Source organism: Homo sapiens, chromosome 7 (genome assembly GCF_000001405.40).
Source record: "Homo sapiens chromosome 7, GRCh38.p14 Primary Assembly".
Classification (NCBI taxonomy): Eukaryota; Metazoa; Chordata; class Mammalia; order Primates; family Hominidae; genus Homo; species Homo sapiens.
In genome coordinates this window covers 36,153,877-36,175,441 of record NC_000007.14, presented here as the reverse complement: position 1 = coordinate 36,175,441, position 21,565 = coordinate 36,153,877, and the positions used below count along the sequence as shown (strand labels likewise).

Below are 21,565 nucleotides of genomic sequence, written 5' to 3'. Positions count from 1 at the left end.
AGGGCAACATGGTGAGACCTCATCTCTACAAAAAAATTTAAAAATTAGTCAGGCGTGGTGGCACGCACCTGTGGTCCCAGCTGCTCGGGAGGCTGAGGTGGGAGGATCACTTAAGCCCAGGAGTTCGAGGCCGCAGTGAGCTATGATCACGCCATGGCAGACCTGCTGCAAAGCACATCCTACTTTATCTGTGAGGGCTGTTAAATCAAGTTTAGTGTAAAGCTGCCTCCTTACATATTTTAAGTTCAGCCTAAAGGTTTCTCTGTGCACAGTGAACTATAACCTATGTGGAGGTGTCAATAGACTGTAACCTAGTCTTGTGCCAATCACTGAGTTTTTGCCAGTCAAAGGGGATCAACGGTTTAAACCATGGTCAAATAAGGCAAACCTTGTAACCAATCCAGCTCTTTCTGTACCTCACTAATGTTTTCTGTACGTCACTTTCCTCCTTCTGTCCATAAATCGTCTTCCACTGCATGACTGTGCTGGAGTCTCTCTGAGCCTACTCTGGCTTGGGAGGCTGCCCAATTTGGGCATCGTTCCTCACTCAATTAAACTCTATTAAATTTAATTTGGCTAAGGTCTTTCTTTTAACAGGGCAAATATCAGCCCTTACTGATTAGTTGACTGCTAAGTTTTTTAATCTTAGAAATGGACTGGTATTTTGAAGAGGATTCTAAGAGGCATGTAATCTCTTTGATCCAGGTATCCACACTTGTACAGGGCCTGCACACAGGAGGGTATGTCACCATTCACCCAGTGAAAGCGATCAGAAGGCAGAGAAGGCCGGTGTCTTGGAGGAGACAAACAGCATATGAAGGGCTCTGGAAATACACACTGATTTAGAACTAGCAGCAAACATCAACCCCTCCTCATCCAGCAGCTGCCTGGCGGAGACCAGGGCCTGTGTAACATGGGTAGGGAGGCAGTAATTGATCCAGGATCACAGAATGTCCAGGGCAATGGATTACAGCTATGCTTTATGCACTAGCATTCCCTCCAGGGCCCTAATGCAGAGCAGCACCTCTTTTACCAGCATCATGTGTTACGCTTCCTCATAAGATTTCATTTAATGAAAGGCTTCCTTGCCTGAAAAGAATTTTAAAACCACTGATCCAGAATCTGTGTATCAGGGTGTATCAATTAAGATTCTTAATTGCAAGAAACAGAAATCAACAATGCTTGATTTAAGCAGAGAAGTACTTTGCTAAAAGGATATTAAGGAGGTAAGCGTGGGTAATCGGGAACAAGACGCAAACATGCCCCAGAACTGGTCGGGTAAGGACCCGACTGCAGCAATCCCAAGCCCCCAGTGCCACAGCCTGTGCAGCCAACAGCACCAGCCCTGGCCACCACTTACTGCCACCAGCCACACAGTCTCTGCCATCCCAAGGACTCAGCCCTGTATAAACTATTCCCACAGCCAGACTGAGCTCTTCATAGTCCCTCAGCTTTTGGTGCCACTGGCTCTCCATCAGAGATCAGGATGATTACACGGACCTGTAGGGCCCAGACCCTAGCTGCAAAGGATGCTGGAAAGTGAATCTCTGCATTTGTATTTTTCCCACTGGGTGGTGGACTCTGCTGCCCACCATGTGTCATAAGGAAGGACATTTTCCAAGCACAGAAAGGGATCTAAAAGGATGACAGTGGGTACACACAGAAAAAACTCTCTCAAGCCATGTTCTTCCTCTACCCTCATACCACAACAATCAACACAGAAGAGTTCTGTGACTGTATTGGTTGATTTTCACACTGCTATAAAGATATACCTGAGACTGGGTAATTTATAAACAAAAGAGGTTTAATTGACTCACAGTTCTGCATGGCTGGGGAGGCCTCAGGAAACTTACAATCATGGTGGAAGGGGAGGAAGGCAGGTCTTACATGGCAGCAGAAGAGAAGCTGGGGGTGGGGAACTGCCAAACACTTTTTTTTTTTTTTAAGACGGAGTCTCACTCTGTCGCCAGGCTGAAGTACAGTGGTGCAATCTCAGCTCACTGCAACCTCCACCTCCTGGGTTCAAGTGATTCTCCTGCCTCAGCCTCCCGAGTAGCTGGGATTATAGGTGCACATTACCACACCCAGCTAAGTTTTTTTTTTTTTTTTTTTTTTTAAGTATAAACGGGCTTTCACCATGTTGGCCACGATGGTCTCAATCTCCTGACCTCGTGATCCGCCCCCCTTGGCCTCCCAAAGTGCTGGGAGCCAAACACTTTTAAACCATCAGATCTCATCAGAACTCACTCACTATCATGAGAACAGCATGGGGGAAACCGTCCCTATGATTCAAACCCCTCCCACCAGGTCCCTCCCTTGACATGTGGAGATTACAGTTCAAGAAGAGATTTGGGTGGGGACACAGAGCTAAACCATGTCAGTAACTGAATGTGTAGTGTTTTTTCCACACAAACCAAGCATCAGACACTAGCTGGGTGTCCTCCAATTCTGTTTCTATACTATCTACCTGGAGGTAGTACCAGACCCCACCCACTTGGGGCTCAGTCTCCAAGACTGCCCCCAATCCCCCTGCCCTCCCCACCCCCCAGCCTTCAGACACTAGTCGTAAGTCTGAGCCTCCAGAACTTCTGACCAACTGGCTTCAAGTTGAGGTTTCCATGATCCTTTTTTTTGGGTTTGGTTAATTTGCTGAAGCAACTCACAGAAACACTGACTTAAGGTTTATTGGCTTATTATAAAGCAGAGGTGTACAATCTTTTGGCTTCCCTGGGCCACAATGGAAGAAGAATTGTCTTGGCCTCACATAAAATACACTAACACTAATGATAGCTGATGAGCTAAAAAAAAAAAAAAAAAAAAAAAACTCATAATATTTTAAGAAAGTTTATAAATTTGTGTTGGGATGTGTTCAAAGCCATCCTGGGCTGCATGCAGCCTGCAGGCCATGGGTTGGACAAGCTTGTTATAAAGGATACTGGAAAGGATACAGATGAAGGGATGCATAGGGCAAGGTACGGCAGAAGGGGCACAGAGCTTCCATGCCCTCCCTGGGTCTCTGCCCTCTAGGAACCTCCACATGTTCAGCCATCTGGAAGTTCTCGAACCCAGTCCTCTTGGGTTTCTATGAAAGCATTCCTTCTCTCAGGGTATGAGACAGGCCCCTCTCAGGGGAGGGTCTTAGGAAAAGACCCACAATCAAAAAGGAGGGGAAGATTAGAGTCCTACCTTGAGGCAGGTGAAAGAAAGGCAGAAGAGAGATTCTACTTTCCTGAGGCTTAACACGCCCAACATTATAACAAAAGACTGTAACTAGGGATATGGCAGTTATGAGCTAGGAATCGTGGACAAAAACCAGTGTATATCATAACACCACAGTAAGACAGAAGAGCCCTGAGTCCCCAAGAAAGTGAAATACACTGACAAGACAGAGAAAAAGGGCCCAAGTATTATTTATATTGTATGTATAAATATTTAACATAAACATCTATAAGCATTTTTTTATGTTTTAAATATTTCATATAAAAAGTGAAGTCCCCTCCTGGACATCAAAAATGAACTTCACAGTTTGGTCTTGAACTATGTAAAACACCAAGGTCATGGCACCTGACTCTGATGTTAGCAGCCATCAGGCAGGTTGCTTTGAAACTGAATCAGATGCCAGCTACCAACAAGCTTGGCTGAAACTAACTACAGAGAAGAGCTTACAATTAATGAGTGAGAGGCAGTATATGGCCAACTGTATATATAGGTACACTTCCCAACTATACTTACTCACTGTGAAAGTGGAAGAAGCAAAGACACAATTAACACCAAAGATAAAGATCTATTTTGAAAGATGGGTATATTTATAATTCACACACACTCAGACACTCTGTGGGTGGAGACACGTACAGACATATGTCTGTGGTCAGACACATACAAATCCATGGAGATGTGAGAAGCGAGAAAGATTTAGTAAAACAAGATTCAATCAATGATGTCTGAACTATGAAAGATAATTCCAAGGGCTTTGATCTCAAAGCCTGATAAAGTCTGACTTACTGCTGGAGTTGTTTTGTACAAGTGAAATTAATTTTAAACACTTACAATTTAGAGTCACCATATATGTTTTTTGGTTTGTTTTAAGCCAGCAACATGAGTTTTGGCTTTTCTGCTGGGTCCACTCTTTTGTGTATCTATTCACACAGAGTATACCTTGAAAATCTGAGGTTTAGCGTACAGCCAAAATTGATTTATACCTGAAAAACATGAAGCATGGGGCTGGGCATGGTGGCTCATGCCTGTAATCTCAGCACTTTGGGAGGCCAAGGTGGGAGGATTATCTGAGCCCAGGAGTTCAAGACCGGCCTTGGCCGCATAATGAGGCTCCCTCTCTACATAAAAAAATAATAATTAGCCAGGTGTGGTGGTGCACACCTGTAGTTTCAGCTACTTGGGAGGCTGAGGCAGGAGGATTGCTTGAGCCTCGGAGTTTGAGGCTGCTGTGAGCTGTGATCAGGCCACTGTACTCCACAGCCTGGGTGACAGAGTGAGATCTTGCCTCAAAACAAAACAAAACAAAAGAAGCATGGAAAAAAGTAAAATGAACTAAAACTATTCTACTCCGAGTGAGAAGATAAGATGGAAGGAGACAGAAATGATATGGTAATAAGGACACTTAAACATTGGACTGGATCTCCATTGTGGTCGGGGGGATGAACAGGTAATCTATGGTGAATGACCAAGCAACATTCAGAAGCCAAAACTAGCTGGAAATCTTAAGAACACAGCATTTTTATAGATTAGACATATTTTTAAAGGCGATGTCTAAGGGCATATATGTAATACTTTGCACTTGGAATCTATGGGAGGGGGAAGAAGAAAAAAAGATAATTTAATCTTTCTTGAGGGGAGCTCTGAAAAAAAAAAAAAAAAGACACTTTTAACATGAAACCAAAGAGAAGCAGGTCCCTGCAATGACTGATACAGGGTTCCATGAAGAGAAGAGCATAATGACTTAACTCTCCACAGCAGGAGTTAAAAGAACAGGAAATAAACATTTTATATATACAAAATATATACTTTTTTTTTTTGAGACAGAGTCTTACTCTGTCACCCAGGCTGGAGTGCAGTGGCACGACCTCAGCTCACTGCAACCTCTGCCTCCCGGGTTCAAGCGATTCTCCTGCCTCAGCCTCCTGAGTAGCTGGGATTACAGACATGCGCCACCATGCCCAGCTAATTTTTGTATTTTTAGTAGAGACAGAGTTTCATCATGTTGGCCAGGCTGGTCTCGAACTCCTGACCTCAGGTGATCTTCAGGTCTGCCTCGGCCTCGCAAAGTGCTGGGATTACAGGCGCGAGCCACCGCACCCGGCCAAAATACATAATTTTGAACGTACATAGAAAATGTCATTTGTGGATGCCGGCAGCAATCTATGGAAGGTGTTCCTTCAAGGTTATTTCCTGGCCCAAGGGCCTGTGATTTGCAGATATTGTGATGAAACTGCCAGAGCTCACCTCTCATTGGAGTTATTTTGATGAAATTTCTAAAGCTCACCTGGCATACTATCCATTATATTTTGGCTTTTGATAAAAAAAGTGCTAAACTTCCATCAAAAATGCATAACTTCAGTGTGAAAACCAGAGGACACCAAATACTTCTCCAGGACATTGTTTAAGCCCAGTTCAGACAGAACATTCCAGCCAGACTCATGAAGCATCCCAAATGAAGTTCTCCAGGCTCCTTCCCAGATGCGGGGTTTGTTTCTGTAGGATGTTGGGTACTTTTTCCTATTACAAAACAGTTATTCCAGGTTATGTCCTGGTACAATGACTCCATGACTAAGGGGCGAGGAAGAGGGGAAGAGGGAGTGAAAGGAAATCAACACAAAGATACCTTGTATTTTTTCAGCTTAGAAACAAGTTTGAAAATGACCCACACAGATCTGAATAGACATTTTTCCAAAGAAGATATACAAATAACCAATAAACATATGACAAGATGCTAAACGTCATTAGTTATTAGGGACATGCAATTTAAATCCCCAACAAGATACCACTTCACACCCACTAGCATGGCTTTCATCAAAAAGACAGACAATAACAACTGTTGATGAGGATGTAGAGAAATAGCCCCTCATACATTGCTGGTGGAAATGTAAAATGGTGCAGCCACCCTGGAAAACAATCTGGCAGTCCCTCAAAAAGTTAAACTTAAATTAACATAAAATAAACAAAAAATTACTCCAGCAACTCCACTCCTAGGTATATACCCCAAAGAAATGAAAATATATGTCTACATAAAAACTTGTACATGAATGTTCTTAGCAGCATTATTCACATAATAGCCAAAAAGTGGAAACAACCCAAACGTCCATCACCTGATGAATGGATAAAGAAAATGTGGTACATCTATATAGTGGAAAATTATTCAACTATTAAGAAGAAAAAGAAATACTGATACACACTTCACCACGGATAAACCTCGAAAACATCATGCTAAGTAAAAAAGTCAGGCACAAAAGGTCACATACTATACAATTTATAAGCAATATCCAGAATCCTGGGATGAGGAGAAGGAAATCTTCAAATTGAATCAGATGACTTCCTAAAGCGCTTGCAGGGCAGTACCCCCAAGAGGACAGGGTCCTTTACCCCCAGTTAAATCTGTCTCTTCATACTTCTAGATCTAGAAAGGCTAGGAAACAACTGTCCCCCCTCCCCCAACCTTTTTTTTTTTTTGAGACAGAGTCTTGCTCTGTCGCCCAGGCTGGAGTGCAGTGGCACAATCTTCGCTCACTGCAAGCTCCGCCTCCTGGGTTCATGCCTTTCTCCCACCTTAGCCTCTTGAGTAGCTGGGACTGCAGGTGCCTGCCACTATGCCCAGCTAATTTTGTTTTTGTATTTTTAGTAGAGATGGGGTTTCACCATGTTAGCCAGGATGGTCTCGATCTCCTGACCTCGTGATCCACCCGCCTCAGCCTCCCAAAGTGCTGGGATTACAGGCGTGAGCCACCGTGCCCGGCCAACTGTCCCCTTTCTTAATCTTTTGGCCCCATTTCCAAGTTTATGGATTTGCTACCTCTGCATCTAAAAGAGTTTGGGCGCTGGGTAATTCCAGTTTCACCAAGTACGTCACTTCATTCAAGTCAGCTTATATTCTTTAAGTTTCCTTATGTGTAAAGTGGACATAGTTTACTCACCTCACTGAAGTAGTGTGAGCATTCACTTAATGAATATCAAGGCAACAGCATGTGGGGTAAAATAAATACTCAATAAATGTTAGTGGTCATTTATTCTTTCCACAAATTCCTGAGTGCTACTGTGCCAAAACTCCACCATATGTGCATGGCTCCTGCCCTTATGAAACCCTCAGTCCACAGGGCAGACAGCACCAACACACAATTACAACAGAGGGATGGTCGTGGCAGGGGAAATACATGCTGATAGGGGAGCCCGTAGCTGGCGTGCTTAACCATAGAAGTCAGGGAAAGCCCCACTTGGGTTGGCTTCACAGGGGTCACTCTGAATCTCGCCCTTCCACAGCAATTCTAAAGGGCACTATGGGACCAGCCTGGCCAATGTGGCGAAACCCCATCTCTACTAAAAATACAAAAATCAGCCAGGCGTGGTGGCGCGTGCCTGTATCCCAGCTACTCGGCAGGCTGAGGCAGGAGAATCGCTTGAACCAGGGAGGCACAGGTTGCACTGAGCTGAGATGGCGCCACTGCACTTCAGCCTGGGCCACAGAGAGAGACTCTGTCTCTAATAATAATAATAATAATAAAGGGCACTATGTTCTAAATGGCACTAAATCTCTACCTGAAATTGGTGCCCAGTGCCCAGGGTTTGGCAAACTTATGCATCAACATTACCTGTAGCCAAGGGCAAGCAAAGAACTTGGCAAACTGGAGGCTGCTGCGTGGGGGTGGCAGTGTAGAAGGCTCCAGGTCACTGCTCTCATTTCAGAGGAAAACTCAGACTAGCAAATCTGAAGGAGAGAAGTGCAAGGGTCCAGGCCCTAAGAGCTGGACCCTATCTACTATGGCCCGACAAGAAAGCCATTCCCCTTGGCAGAGCAGTGTGTCACTCCAGGAACTCAAATGCAGCTTTCTCTAGCATTTAAACTGTGAAACAAGTACTTTGAAATCGTCATCCCTCCAGAAAAAACTCAGAGGAGCAAGTTGCTCACAAACTGCCCAGAAGGAAACCCCTGGGTAATTTTTCTTAAATGATCTTGTCAGGGGCTAAATTGTGTCCCCCCAAATTCCTGTGTTGAAGCCCTAATCCCCAGTACTTCAGAATGTGACTGTATTTGGAGATAGGGCCTTTAAAGAGTTGATTAAGGTAAAAGAAGGCCATCAGGGTAAGCTCTAATCTGATATGACTGGTGACCTCATAAGAAGAGATTTTGGGTACAGAGGAAAGACCATGTGAAGACGCAGGGAAAGGACAGTCATCTGCAAACCAGGGAAAGGGGACTGAGAAAAAACCAAGCTGGCCAATGTCTTGATCTCAAACTCCCAGCCTCCAGAACTGTGAGACAATCATTTCTGTGGTTGAAGCCCCCCAGTCTGTGGGACTTCATTATGGCAGCCCTAAAAACCAAACACATCTTATCTATAGGAACAGCCACTCTTCCTTCTCAGTATTCAAGGGTATTTGGTAGTAACAGTGATCATTTTCCCTCTCTGCGGAAAAAGCCTCAGGATTGGAAGGGACTTTTGTGATTTGAAAGAAATTTATATATTTAAATATATAATCTTAACTAACAGAATTAATCAATCAAAATACCACAGCAGTTTGAATGAATGCAAATATTGTATTTGAAATTAGGGGTTATGGGTGATCTCACAGTCTCATTTCTCATACTTCATCCAGTTTATCTTGCCTAGGTTGACCAATGACAAGAAAGCCTGTTTTTTTGTTTGTTTGTTTGTTTGTAGAGAAGGGGTCTCGCTATGTCGCCAGGGCTAGTCTCAAACTCCCAAGCTCAAGTGATCCTTCCACCTAGACCTCCCAAAGTGCTGGGATTACAGGCATGAGCCACTTCTCCTGGCCTCCTGATTTTCACAATTAAGTGGTTGCAAATGGTAATATCTTAAACATCCATTTTGTAATTTCAAATGCTTTTAATAAAATTTATCTCAAAGTTTAAAAGATAGAAGCAACTCCTTTTCTAAGCTGAAATTCTAACAATATCTAACAACTACTTGCATTTTTTGTTACAAATTCAGGAGACATCCAAACTAACATAACACAAACAATTACAAATCAACTCCAAACAGTCTTGCCTGGCGTTAAACTGAGTTCAGCAAAGGTATACTGTAATACCACAGTTTCTTGTGCAGTTTCACTTGTGTGGACATGTATTTAATATTTTAAGAATCAGACTTTAAAATTCAATTCAGCCCATTTTTAAAAGACAGTGTGGAGTCATGAACTTGGAAAGGTATTTATAAGCCATCTAGTCCCATCCCCCTGCCTGAATCCCTCTCCGTTTACAGTATTCATCGGTTCTCCGAGCAGTTCATCTGCATTGCTGAAGAAAATGCTGACTAGCACAGGTATTAAATCAAAATAAAAGCTCACTAGGACTTCATTGTTTTTATTTCTAAAAGTTGCAGGAGACTTTTTTAGGGGAAATTGGACAATGTATCAATTTGAGTCAAACTATCAATTTATGAGTCAAATTCTTGACTTCATAAATACAATCATGTACCGTTTAACAATGGGAGTATGTTCTAAGAAATGGATCATTAGGGCCGGGCATGGTGGCTCACGCCTGTAATCCCAGCACTTTGGGAAGCCGAGGCAGGCAGATCACGAGGTCAAGAGATCGAGACCATCCTGGTCAACATGGAAACCCTGTCTCTACTAAAAATAAATAAATAAATAAATAAATAAATAAATTAGCTGGGGCGTGGTGGCAGGTGCCTGTAATCCCAGCTACTCAGGAGGCTGAGGAAGGAGAATCGCTTGAACCCGGGAGGCAGAGGTTGCAGTGAGCTGAGATTGCTCCATTGCACTCCAGCCTGGGTGACAGAGCAAGGCTCTGTCAAAAAAAAAAAAAAAAAAAAAAAAAAAAGGAAATGGATCATTAGGCGATTTCATCATTGTGCAAACTTCACAGAGTGGACTTTCACAGACCTAGATGCTAGAGCCTACTCCTAGGCTATAAACCTACATGGTATGTTATTGTACTGAAGACTGTAGACAATTGCAACACTATGGTATTTAAACATAGAAGAAGTACAGTACAAATACAGTATACAATCTAAAATATGGTACAACTGTGTAGGGCACTTGCCATGAATGGATCTTGCAGGACTGGACGTTGCTCTGAGTGAGTGGGTGAGTGGTGAAAGAATGTGAAGGTCCAGGACATGACTGTACACTACTGTAGATTTAATAAACACTGTGCACTTAGGCTACACTAAATTAAAAGTTTTTTCTTTCTTCACTAATAAATTACCCTTAGCTTACTGTAACATTTTGACTTTATAAACTTTTAAATTTTTTAATCTTTTGACTTTTGTAATAACATAGCTTAAAACTCATAGTACAACTGTATAAAAACATTTTCTTTCTTTATATCCTTTATAAGTTTTTGCTACTGTTAAATATATTTCTTTCTTACTTCTTAAACTTTTTTGTTAAAAACTAAGACACACACACATTATCCTAGGCTTACATGGGATCAGGATCATGAAGATGTCACCAGGCAACAGGAATTTTCCAGTTCCATTATAATCTTCTGGGAACATATACACCATCTATCATTGACCAAAATATTACTCAGTGCTTGACTGTCTTCTCCAGAGATTGACTTTTTCAGTCAATCTCCTAGAGGAAAGAATGGTAGGTCAGTAACCACCTGCAGTTACCTGTTGGGGTCTACAATAAACATGTAGAACAAACACTGAATTTAGCTTAAATAAACAACATGGGTACAACAGTAACCTTTTTAAAAAACATAATAGATGTTATCCTAACCAACCTCCACTCAAGGGACCTACCAAAGTGTCCCCATTCCCTTTGTAAAACAAGTTGATGGATGCCCATGGTGCAATGAGTACACTTGGCTTGATCAGCTGTGAGTAGGGCATCATGTGCTTACCAGAGAGTCAACTGTGCCTGTCCTTAAACTGTTTATGTCAGTTGCACATATTACCATGATCTCCTAAAATGTGGTTGTCAACTGGTGAAATAGAAGCATGAGCAGAAAGATAAGTTGTTTCTAAGAAAACGAAGATGGATACTTGAAAAGCTTCTTAAAAAGCAAGTTGTTTAAGAAATTGCTGTCAAAATAAGTGTGGTTAAGACAATTATAAAAGACAGAAAAGTCATAAAAAATATAGTATCCTGCAATCAGTTTGCTTTGCAAATATCCTTGCTCCACTTTGAAAAGACAAACACTAAGACAAATACATATGTTCGTAGACACATGATGATATCATTATATATCAGTATACTTACGAAAAATCATAACCTAGGGAACCCAAGCCAAGCTGGTTAAGAAAGCATCTAGCCTAGAATGCAGTCTGGGTGATGAATGAAATACAACTACTCTGAGAAGCATTACTGAACAGAATAGCTTTTTTTTTTTTTTTTTTCTTCCTGAGATGGAGTCTTGCTCTGTCCCCCAGGCTGGGGTGCAGTGGCATGATCTCGGCTCACTGCAAGCTCCACCTCCCAGGTCCACACCATTCTCCTGCCTCAGCCTTCCGAGTAGCTGGGACTACAGGTGCCCGCCACCACGCCTGGCTAATTTTTTTATTTTTAGTAGAGACAGGGTTTCACTGTGTTAGCCAAGATGGTCTCGATCTCCTGACCTCATGATCCGCCCGCCTCGGCCTCCCAAAGTGCTGGGATTACAGGCATGAGCCACCGCGCCCAGCCTGAACAGAAGAGCTTTTTATCATCAAACTTTGGAGTCTAACTGCAAAGACTTTGGATTATAAACCAAGTTCCACCCTCTGAAAGCAGTAAAATTTCTCAGCTTCGCTGAGCCATCTCTTCTGTATCTGTAACTTAGCTATGGCCCTCAGCCACAGCAACTGTCAGTGTTAATTATCATTGTTTTTGTTCTAGCACAACCTCTACCACCAAGTGGACACTAAAAGTACACCATCGAGTAAGGGAGAGTAGAGGGACATGAAGTATTTTGCTATCTGAAATGAGTCCTCAAATTAAAACTTTAAAAGATTGGGAATCACTTTGAAAAGGAAAAAAAAAAACCTACCCATAAAACAACACAATAATCTGAAGCCACAGAGGCTGCCCACCAAGAAAGGAAGGAAGGAGCCCTGAGACCACTGGCAGTTAAGACCAAGGCCTAATGTCACCCAAATATTGGCTTTTTCCCATTCAAGAAACATAAACTGCTAAAAAAAAAATTAGACTGAATTTGCTTAACAGAAAATATACTCTAGAGAAGTGTTTTTTTTAAACAGGATATTGGATAGATATTTTTTAAAAAACAACAACCCACCTGAGACCTCCCACTTTTAGCATAAGCTGAAAAAGACAAAGTACTAGTTTTATTCTCCAGTTTTGGGGTGAGCAAACAAGACTTCAGATCCGTAGAACATCCAAAGCATGTGCAACCTTAAATGTGGCAATGGGAACAACGTACTGTCGCTTAAGCACTGCATTTCAGGAGTATACAGCAGCCTCTAGGTAAAACAATTTAAGGCCCAGCTTAACAGCTTAATCAGGTAACGGCTGAACCAAAATAGAATTCACAGGAAACAAGGGCTCGTTGGAAACAAACAACAAATCAATATTAGTTGGGGAATTGTAGTCAGTAAAGAAAATCCAGGTTTTTCTTTTTTTCTTTCTTTTCTTTTTTTTTAAGACAGGGTCTCGCTCTGTGCTCAGGCTGGAGTGCAGTGGCACAATCTCAGCTCACTGCAACCTCCACTTCCCAGGCTCAAGCTAACCTCCCACATCAGCCTCCTGAGTAGCTGGGACTATGGGTGTGCACCACCAACCTTGGGTAATTTTTGTATTTTTTGTAGAGATGGGATTTCACCATGTTGCCCAGGCTAGTCTCGAACTCCTGGGCTCAAGTGATCCACCCACCTTGGCCTCCCAAAGTTGGGATTACAGGTGTGAGCCACCGTGCCCAGCCAACCCAGGCTTTCTTTATTCAAGAGTCTGCAAGAAGGATTCCACACTTCCCTTTATAATGAAATGTTTACTCTGAGCACACCTCTCCAGGGTTCCCAGCCACTTGAGTTCAGCAATTTGGCTGCTGTCAATCAAGACATTACATAAGAACTTTGGCATGTGTACAACACTCATGAGAAGGAGGGTGAGGAAGCTGCTAAGATTCCTAAATATTTGATGAGGACTAACAGCCTGTCAGGTAGAGCAGGACATTTTTGTGGCATTTCCTGGATGTTATGATATGAGAAGTCATCAGTGTGAAATTCTACCCAGGTATAAATTACCACACACAAACCAGGATGTCCATGATGAGCAAATAGAATTTCAGTAAAATCTATCATTTTATTTGTTACTGACACTGATTGTTATTAGGGAATTCTGGGATAAAATCCTTTGTAAGGTAGAGTAATTTTTTTTTTTTTTTTTTTGAGAGAGACAGGGTCTCACTCTGTCACTGAGGCTGGAGAACAATGGCATGATCACAGTTCACCACAACCTTGAATTTCTGGGCCTTCTGAGTAGCTGGGACTACAGGCACGCACTACCCCACTCAGCTAATTTTTAAAGTTTCTGTAGCAATAGGGTCTTGCTATGTTTCCCAGGCTGGGGAAGGTCATTTTGAAATTAAAATGACACACACCTTCCTGCTTATAAGCTTGGCATTTGTATACCGGATTCTCTCACTGTGAGGAGCCTTGTGTGGGAGGCTGCCATGTTCCTGTCTGAGTATTTTGGATCATAAGCCTCAGTGGAGGGCCCGGACCTCCCCCTCCTCAGCCGTGTGTGTGCATGGGGGAGGGTGGATGCTGACTTTCAGCCTCAATTGTCACTATGCCACTACACTCCTTCCTCTCAGACTCCAACCACCCATCCACCTGACTTGGTCCTTTCCCTTCATCCCTGACCGAATGCTGAGGTCTCACATACCTGCAGAGCCAAGCAGACAGCGACCAAGTCCCTGTGCTCTCAGGTCTCTTAGCAAGCTTCACATCCTCCCTCATCCCACACATCATCCTGGAAATACCTGCTGAATGTGTATGTCCTTGAGACGGTGAGCCCCCGACCACAAAGTGGGGTCTTCCTGCGCCCATGCCTCTGACCTCATCAGGTAGTAAGCACAAAGTAGCTGCTCAATGTTGAACTGAATGTATGCGAACCTCTCCTGATAGAAATAGTCACCTAAAGTCCCCAGAGCAAGCCCTGGGTCCATTTGTCATTGATGCTGAAGAGAATATGTGGCCTTGTCAGATGCCCCATCTGCTGAGGGCAGACCATGGCCTCATACTCCATCTGCTATGGACCTAAGTAAGACCCCACACCCAGGACACAGCTGTGGCTGAGGGGAAGGGTAAGGTGAACACCTTGCATCATGTTAAAATAATACAGAGGCATGTGTGTCAGCCCCAGGATTTCTTATTATATATGCCTCTGCACCTATCTCATAGAAACCTCAGAGCATTTCAAACAAGCTACCTGCTGAATCTCACACTATCCACAATATAGGCAAGTCTTGCCAGTTTTTACCTCTAAAAGGCTTCTCATCTCTGCCCACTTCCCCATCTCCCCAGAGATCATTGCCTTTAGCTTGAATCCTGCAACAGCTTCTTCACTCAACTCCCAGGACCCTCTCCATGCACGCCCCGCCCCCCACCACCTCCCAGCAGTCAGACTATCTGGTAAGAGGTCATTTCTTCAGCCTCTGCTTCTAACCTTCTGTGGCCTCCTCCTGCTGTTACAAGAAGTCTTGAAGGCCCCACCTGATCTGGCCTGGCCTTGCTCTGCGGCCCCACCCACCCGCCACTCTAGAACTCTGGCCTTCTGTCTGGAGCCAGCACTCTCAGGGCCTCTGCACTTGCCAATTCCTCCATGGAGCATTCTTTTCCCTGGCTTCTTCCGTGCCTGGCTTCTTCTCATCCATCAGCTTTCAGCTGAGGCATTCTTTGACCCCCATCTAAATAGGCTTCTCTTCACCTCACCTCCATCACCCTCAGCATGCACCACTATCTGTAATGATTGATGTGTGTGTTGACCTGTTTGTCTTTCCTCCTAGAACAGAAGTTCCATGAGTGCAGGGACTTTGTCTTGTTCTCCACTTTATTACCAGAGCCTGATACAGAACCTGGTACCTAGTGAGAGCTCCAAACAGATCTGCTAACTGAATGAATGAATGGATGGATGGGTGAATGAGTGAGTAAGAAAGGAATGGATAGCCCCTGGGAAAATCAACACCATCAAACTCCCAAAGAACCTTGGAATCAGACCCAAAATGGGCCCAGCTTCCTTGTAAAACAAAAGTCACACCTTTCCCTTTAGTGAGATAAACCCTAAGTTCTGCCTACATTGGAAGTTCCCTGCATTCACACTGTCTTCTCTTACAAATCCACAACACTCTTACTACCGACCATCTTTCTATTTAGAAACACCTTAGAGTTCCTTGGCTCAGAAAACTGGAACTTGATCTTGGAGTCAGGCCCAAGGTCACAGACTCACACTTGAGGGGCTGGGTGGAGGAGCCCTGACGCCTTTTGGATTGGCTCTACCTCTGGCCTCAAGCCCCATCCTTTAGAGGAACAAAAACGGGAAAAAACAGAGGCCCCCAGAGGCCTGACACAATCTCAGGGTTGTAGGGAAGCCCTCCTTTTCCCCAAGACCCTGATACCTGGCCAGCCAAAGGCAGGGAGGAAATGTGGGTGGGCTGGGAGTCAGAGGCAGCAGAAGGGCATGGAGTTTGGGAAAAGACACGCCTAATCTGGCCTAATCCCTCCGCTTTGAAAGTAGACAAACTTCAAATCCTGACTCCAATATCTACATTTCTGAAGGCCACACAGATGCTATTTAACCTCTCAGAGCCTCAGTTTCCAAAAGTGTCAAAATGGATTTCACAATTTCTACTTTAAGAGGATTGATGGGCATTCTGTCCCCAGATGTTACGTCTGGCTGCATCCACCCACCCTTCAACCTCCCAGGGTGAGCCTATTGTTCATATGAGAAAAATACAACCATGTATCAATCACTCCTTTTGACCTGCCCCAAAACTCTAGGTTTACTAGACTGTTTTGAGGCTGGGCCACACAAACTAATCTACATTGACTTAAGTTTGGTAAGTAACAGGGCGAAGCTGATCCCTGAAATTAGCTTATATATGCACACAGCAGACATTCAATACATATTTTTCAATGAATGAATCAAATGACAAGATGGGATATGTTTATATTGATCCTACTAATCAAGTCTAATAAAGTAAAATCTTTTTTCACTATCAGTGCTTGTTGCTAGGCATTAATCCACCTTGTGCTTTGATATCACAGACATGTGGCAAAAAAATTGATTTAAGCCATTACAGGGCTAAAGACTTTGACACTCAAGTTCTCTTCTTATGTAGGCCACAGGGAAAATGAGCAAGTGGGATGTTAAATCTTCTTATTTCTTTTGGAGATTATCTTTCAGCTCCCTTAGGGTTTATACTTTCAATAACCAAAGAGACTCTCAAAACAGAATGACTTCCCAGCAAAAAATAAATAAGTAAAAATGAAATATTAACCAATTTTCATTCCAGATGTGGACTACCTCCAAATTTTGCAAGCATATTTAGCAGGAACATTCCCCTTTAATCTTGTTCCATAAATACCGAACAAGGAAGAGTATTGCCTAAGACTGAGATTTGGCAAAATAATCTAATGAAACCTGTCAGTTCTGTGCTACCAGCATGGCATCCCTGAAGGCTCCTGGTGACTGTATGATTATCAAATAATGCTGTCCTACCTCACGCCTCACTTGCAAAACAGTTTCTTATAGCTCACACATGCTGTAAGAAGGTTAAAGAGAAGACTCTAACTCCCATCCCATACAGCTACCCTTCAGCCTAAGAAAACACACCTACTAAAGCAAATTCACAGCCAGCTATTCCCTTTGCAAAGGAACTGCCTAAGGGTATCTTTAAAATCCCTTTACAATGGATTTAATTTAAGACACTGTGACTGGCTCACAATTTAGCAAGTGCGCCTGATGAGGGAGAGGATGGGTGTCTAACCAAGAGGCAGGTTAAAGGTGTCGTGCTTACAAAACACAGCATGCTTGCAAAGGGCATAGGTCTAAAGTGAGAAGGTCTGGGTCGCAGTCCCAGCTGAGTCACTAAGGAGCTGCCTGATAGAGTCATGTCATCTAACTTACTTGATTTTAGTTTCCTTACCCAGAGATGAAGAATCATTAATAAAAGTCAGTGTTACCTACATCCCAGACTTACTAGGAAAATCAAGTAAATGGGAAAGCTGTTAGAAAGCACGAAGGCATACCCAAAAGTTAGGAAACTCTTTTATTACAGGTACACATGGATGTAAATAAGAGCCACCCAGAAATCACCTGCACCCATTCTTGCTCATACTAAATGTATTTCCTCTTACTAATACGGGAACAATTGGAAGGGGAGAGATTTCTGTGAATCAGGACGAACACACAGCTCTTGGAGAATGGGTGCTGCTATCATTGAGGACACGAGATCTACTCTGTGACAGCTTTTGATACCCTAGGACAGTCATACAGACAAAGCACTCACCCTACTCTGAAGGGGATCAGGCCCTGAGTCCATTAGTTCATGTTTACTAAACATTAACAATGTGCTAGGAGTGTCTGGAATACTGAATCCATTGTGACCAGGCAAAGAGAACCATCAACCTCCAACACATTTGGCCAAGAGTGAGAATGTGACGGTGCGGGTCACCTTCCCAGTCACTTACAGGTGATCCCTTCTACACCCTGGTGGGTTTGGGTAAACTTTTCCTGTACTCTTGCCTGACGACAGTAGTTCAATGTCTTCAGCAAATCATCATCTCTCTAGGAAACCCAAAGAAGAAAAAAACAGGACAACCTTCACACTGGACAAGAGTCGTGAGGTCTCCTGCTCAGTGGGCTGCAGGGTGGAGCCAGCGCTGAGGCCAGCCGTCTTTGCTCACTCTCCTATTCTCTACCCTTCACATTCATAGGTCCTAGAAGATGAATAAGCTCCTCAACGCTTGGTCAGAAAGAATATCACAAGGTTGAATAATTATAAGGATGATCAAAACAATCAAAGGGGAAAATAAAAATGACAGTTGTACCTTGGTATCTGCAGAGATTGATTCCAGGAGCCCCTGTGATACCAAAATCCATGATGCTCAAGTCCCTGATATAAAATGGCATATTATTTACATATAACCTATGCACATCCTCCAGTATATTTTAATTCATCTTTAGATTACTTAGAATGCCTAATACAATGTAAATGTTATGTAAATAGTTACCATACTGGATTGTTTAGGGAATGACAAGAAAAAACTCGACATGTTCAGTATAGACACAACTTTTTTTTTTCCTGAATATTTTCCATCTACAGTTGGTTGAATCCATGGATGTGGAACCCACAGGTATGGAGGGCCGACTAGACCTGGAAAGTTCTGCATGAATTCACTAACCCTGCCAGAGGAAGGGGCTTCCAAGAGACAGAGGGACAGCTGATTGCCTAACACCTAGTACAATGGTTCTCAAACTTTAGTGTGCATCAGAACCACCTGGAGGGTGTGTTAAAACACAGAAACAAAGTTTCTGAGTCAGTAGCTGATGTTGCTGGTCCCCAGGGGGGACCACACTTTAGAAACCACTGACATAATAAATAGGCAGGGGCTGCCTGGTTGGTCAGTCCCACTGGACCAACTTTTGATCCTAATCCATCACCCCCCTCCCAAATTGAGCCACTAGAAAGCATAATAGGAATTAAGCAGCTTTGTCTTTCCTGCCTCTCCCCTCCTCATTTCCCATTCACACGCCCATGCTGCTATGGATAAAGAGAACAATTATCAAGCCATTCTTTATAAATATCTCCCGGTGCCGAGTACAGCTCTCACCTGTGCACAAGAAGACTTTGCAGAAGGAGTGAGTTAGGCTGCAAAAGAGAGGACACAGCAGTGCAGGGAGAGCATTCAAGGGCTCCCCAGTCCAGTTCCCTGACCCAGTGTGGAGTCCCTCTCTCAGTGATGAGAGCATGCCACTGGGTCAGTGCCAAGGAAACGTTGTGACCTGCTTTTCTCCTCACTAATTTTCCTGGTGATCTGCCATCATGCACTGTGATTTCCCGCTGAGAGTTCACTTCGTGTCACCAAACTGCTGCCCCCCCGCCGCCAGCCTCACCAACAACTCAGTGCAAAGGAAATCAACGAGTAGCCACAAACACTGCACCCCTGGTGGGTGGCAGGGCAAAACGCCTCAAGTCCAGGATCACAGCTCTTATGACCTGGAAGGGACCATCACAAATATTTCTTTCTTTCCCACACCTGATTACATTATACAGTTTGCTATTTTACTAACAGCAGGAGTTACTGCCAAAATAATATTGTTTTTGTTTATGACGAGGCTAACAGAAATTCCTACAGAGAGCAGTATTGTGAATAACATAAACGCTCTGTGGTAACGGCCTATCCTACTGGACTCTTTTCTTTGGTTTAAATGGGGAAAATCCGGCCAATTTTCACACACACACGTCAGCTTGCTTTTTTCTGGCTATGGCACAGAAAAGGTTACACACATTTTGGGCTACAATTTTAGGGCTGAAAACCAACTCCAGGTTAAATAAGGAAAAAGAATGGAGAGTGATTCATTCATAGCATTTTGGTAAATATAGACACTTGTATGTGTTTGCAAATACTTGGCCTTTAAGATGATTTTGTGTGCACAAATAGGCATATTTGATGGAACAAATATGATTTTCCCTCCCATTAATAAACAAAATCCAATGAGCTCTTTCTCACATGCGAAACTGCACCAGTTCCCATGCTCTGAGTGCCTGACTTGGTGTAGACCCAGCATCCTCCAAAGCAGTAACAAAAACACAACCTCTGCTTACCCCAAAATTATGAATCAGTCTCAGATATCTCACACTCAAGACATGGGTCACAAGCCCAGCTGTATTCAGAAAATTCTGGAGCAGAAGGACAGCCCATTCTCAGGTGACGGTATTGGCTGAGGCTTCAAGAACATTGATTAAAAACTCTTGCACCCTCCCTACCCGCAAAAGAATCCATTCATTTGCATCCATAGATGAGGTCACGCACAAGTTGCCTTCACACCCAACACCCATGGTGGTTCCTGTCCTCACCTGTTTTCCAGGAGTGTCATGCACACCACCTCTCGCACCCCGGGGTTGTTGGCCTTCTCCACGGAACAGCCCTGCAAGTTCCAGGTGGCCAGCCTCAGCACAGGCCTCCCATCCCTTGTGCCTCCAAAGGCCTCCACGGACGGCCGAGTGGAGATAATCTGGGTGGGCCCCCCTGGCGGCAGGTCCAGGTCCTCACTCTGCAGGCTCAGGGAAGTGGGGCTCGGGTGAGGCTTGGCGGTGAAGGTCAGTCCCCCGTTCGTGTGGGTGGATGGGGGCCTGGACCTCTCAGCAAACACCTGGTGCCGGATCCTGTCCAGGAAGGCGGCATTGATACCATCCATCCTCACTAGGTCCTCAACGCTGCGAAAGGGCCCATGCTCACGGCGGAAGTCCACGATGCTGAGGGCCATTTTCTCCGAGAGGCCTCGCACGCTCATGAGCTGGGCCGGGGTGGCTGTGTTGATGTTAACACGTGGGGTGAGGGGCACAGCTGTGGCCAGGTGGTGAGGCTGCTGCTCCGCTAGCAGGTCCCGCCGCAGGGAACTGGGAGAGTGCTGCGCTGAGCTGCCCTTGCTGCTCACACAGATCTCAAACTTGACCTGCTCCAGCTTGGTGGCGCCTACACCACTGACCAATGCCAGGTCCTCCACCTTCTTGAAGCCACCGATATACTCTCGGTACTCCACGATGCTGCGTGCCACGGCACGCGTCACCCCAGGCAGGGTCATCAGCTCCTCCTCCGTGGCAGTGTTGATGTTGAGCCGCTCCTGATTCACTAGAATGTTGCTGAAGTTACAGGCTGCGCTGAACTTGCGGCTATGGGACAGGTCCGAGGGGTCCCTGGGGATGGAGCGGTGGCAGCCCAGGGTGCTCCCCATGGTCCGCCAGGATCAGGCTCCCGGGAAGGCCGCACCACTGCAGAAGAGCTCTCTGGCTAGGGAGGAAGCCCAGTAGGCCGTACAAGCACAGAAAAACGGAAGGTGCAGGATTCAGGGACTGAAGAGGTTACTATAGACAAACACCGAATCTTCCATGCCTGGCGTGTCCAAAATTACCTTTCACTTGGCCGCCTAGAAAATAAATCAATAAACATAGAAACCCATTGAATTAAGAAATTTGCATTAGCACCCCCTACCTAGTGCTAGAGTTAGTAACCAGGAGTCGGGGACTGGTGGCTGCCCGTGAACCCCTAAAAACGCAGGCACAATGAGGCTAGGCCCATGTGGATTCTCCTCTAGGGACGTCCGGGTTTTATCACACTGGAGTCCAAAAAGGCTACGAGCCGCTTCTCTTGGGAAGAGACCTATCCCCATCAGCCTCATGCCT

The 21,565-nt window shown here is 44.3% G+C and overlaps 1 protein-coding gene across 1 annotated transcript in view, besides 1 other annotated feature; it reads right to left on the bottom strand.

Moving 5' to 3' along the window:
• EEPD1 (endonuclease/exonuclease/phosphatase family domain containing 1) overlaps nucleotides 1-21,565 on the bottom strand; it is a 148,285-nt gene that overhangs the window by 126,097 nt on the left and 623 nt on the right. The window contains exon 2 of the mRNA NM_030636.3: nucleotides 20,240-21,309. Within this exon, the coding sequence (NP_085139.2) occupies nucleotides 20,240-21,117 (878 nt within the window). The 5' untranslated portion in view covers nucleotides 21,118-21,309. The remainder of the gene's footprint in view (nucleotides 1-20,239; nucleotides 21,310-21,565) is intronic.
• Nucleotides 16,834-17,354: an enhancer, noted in NCBI's record as "NANOG hESC enhancer chr7:36197697-36198217 (GRCh37/hg19 assembly coordinates)". NCBI's record gives its function as "activates a minimal SCP1, AML or CMV promoter by ChIP-STARR-seq in naive H9 embryonic stem cells {active_cell/tissue: H9 hESC(naive)}" and the evidence as "EXISTENCE:reporter gene assay evidence [ECO:0000049][PMID:30033119]".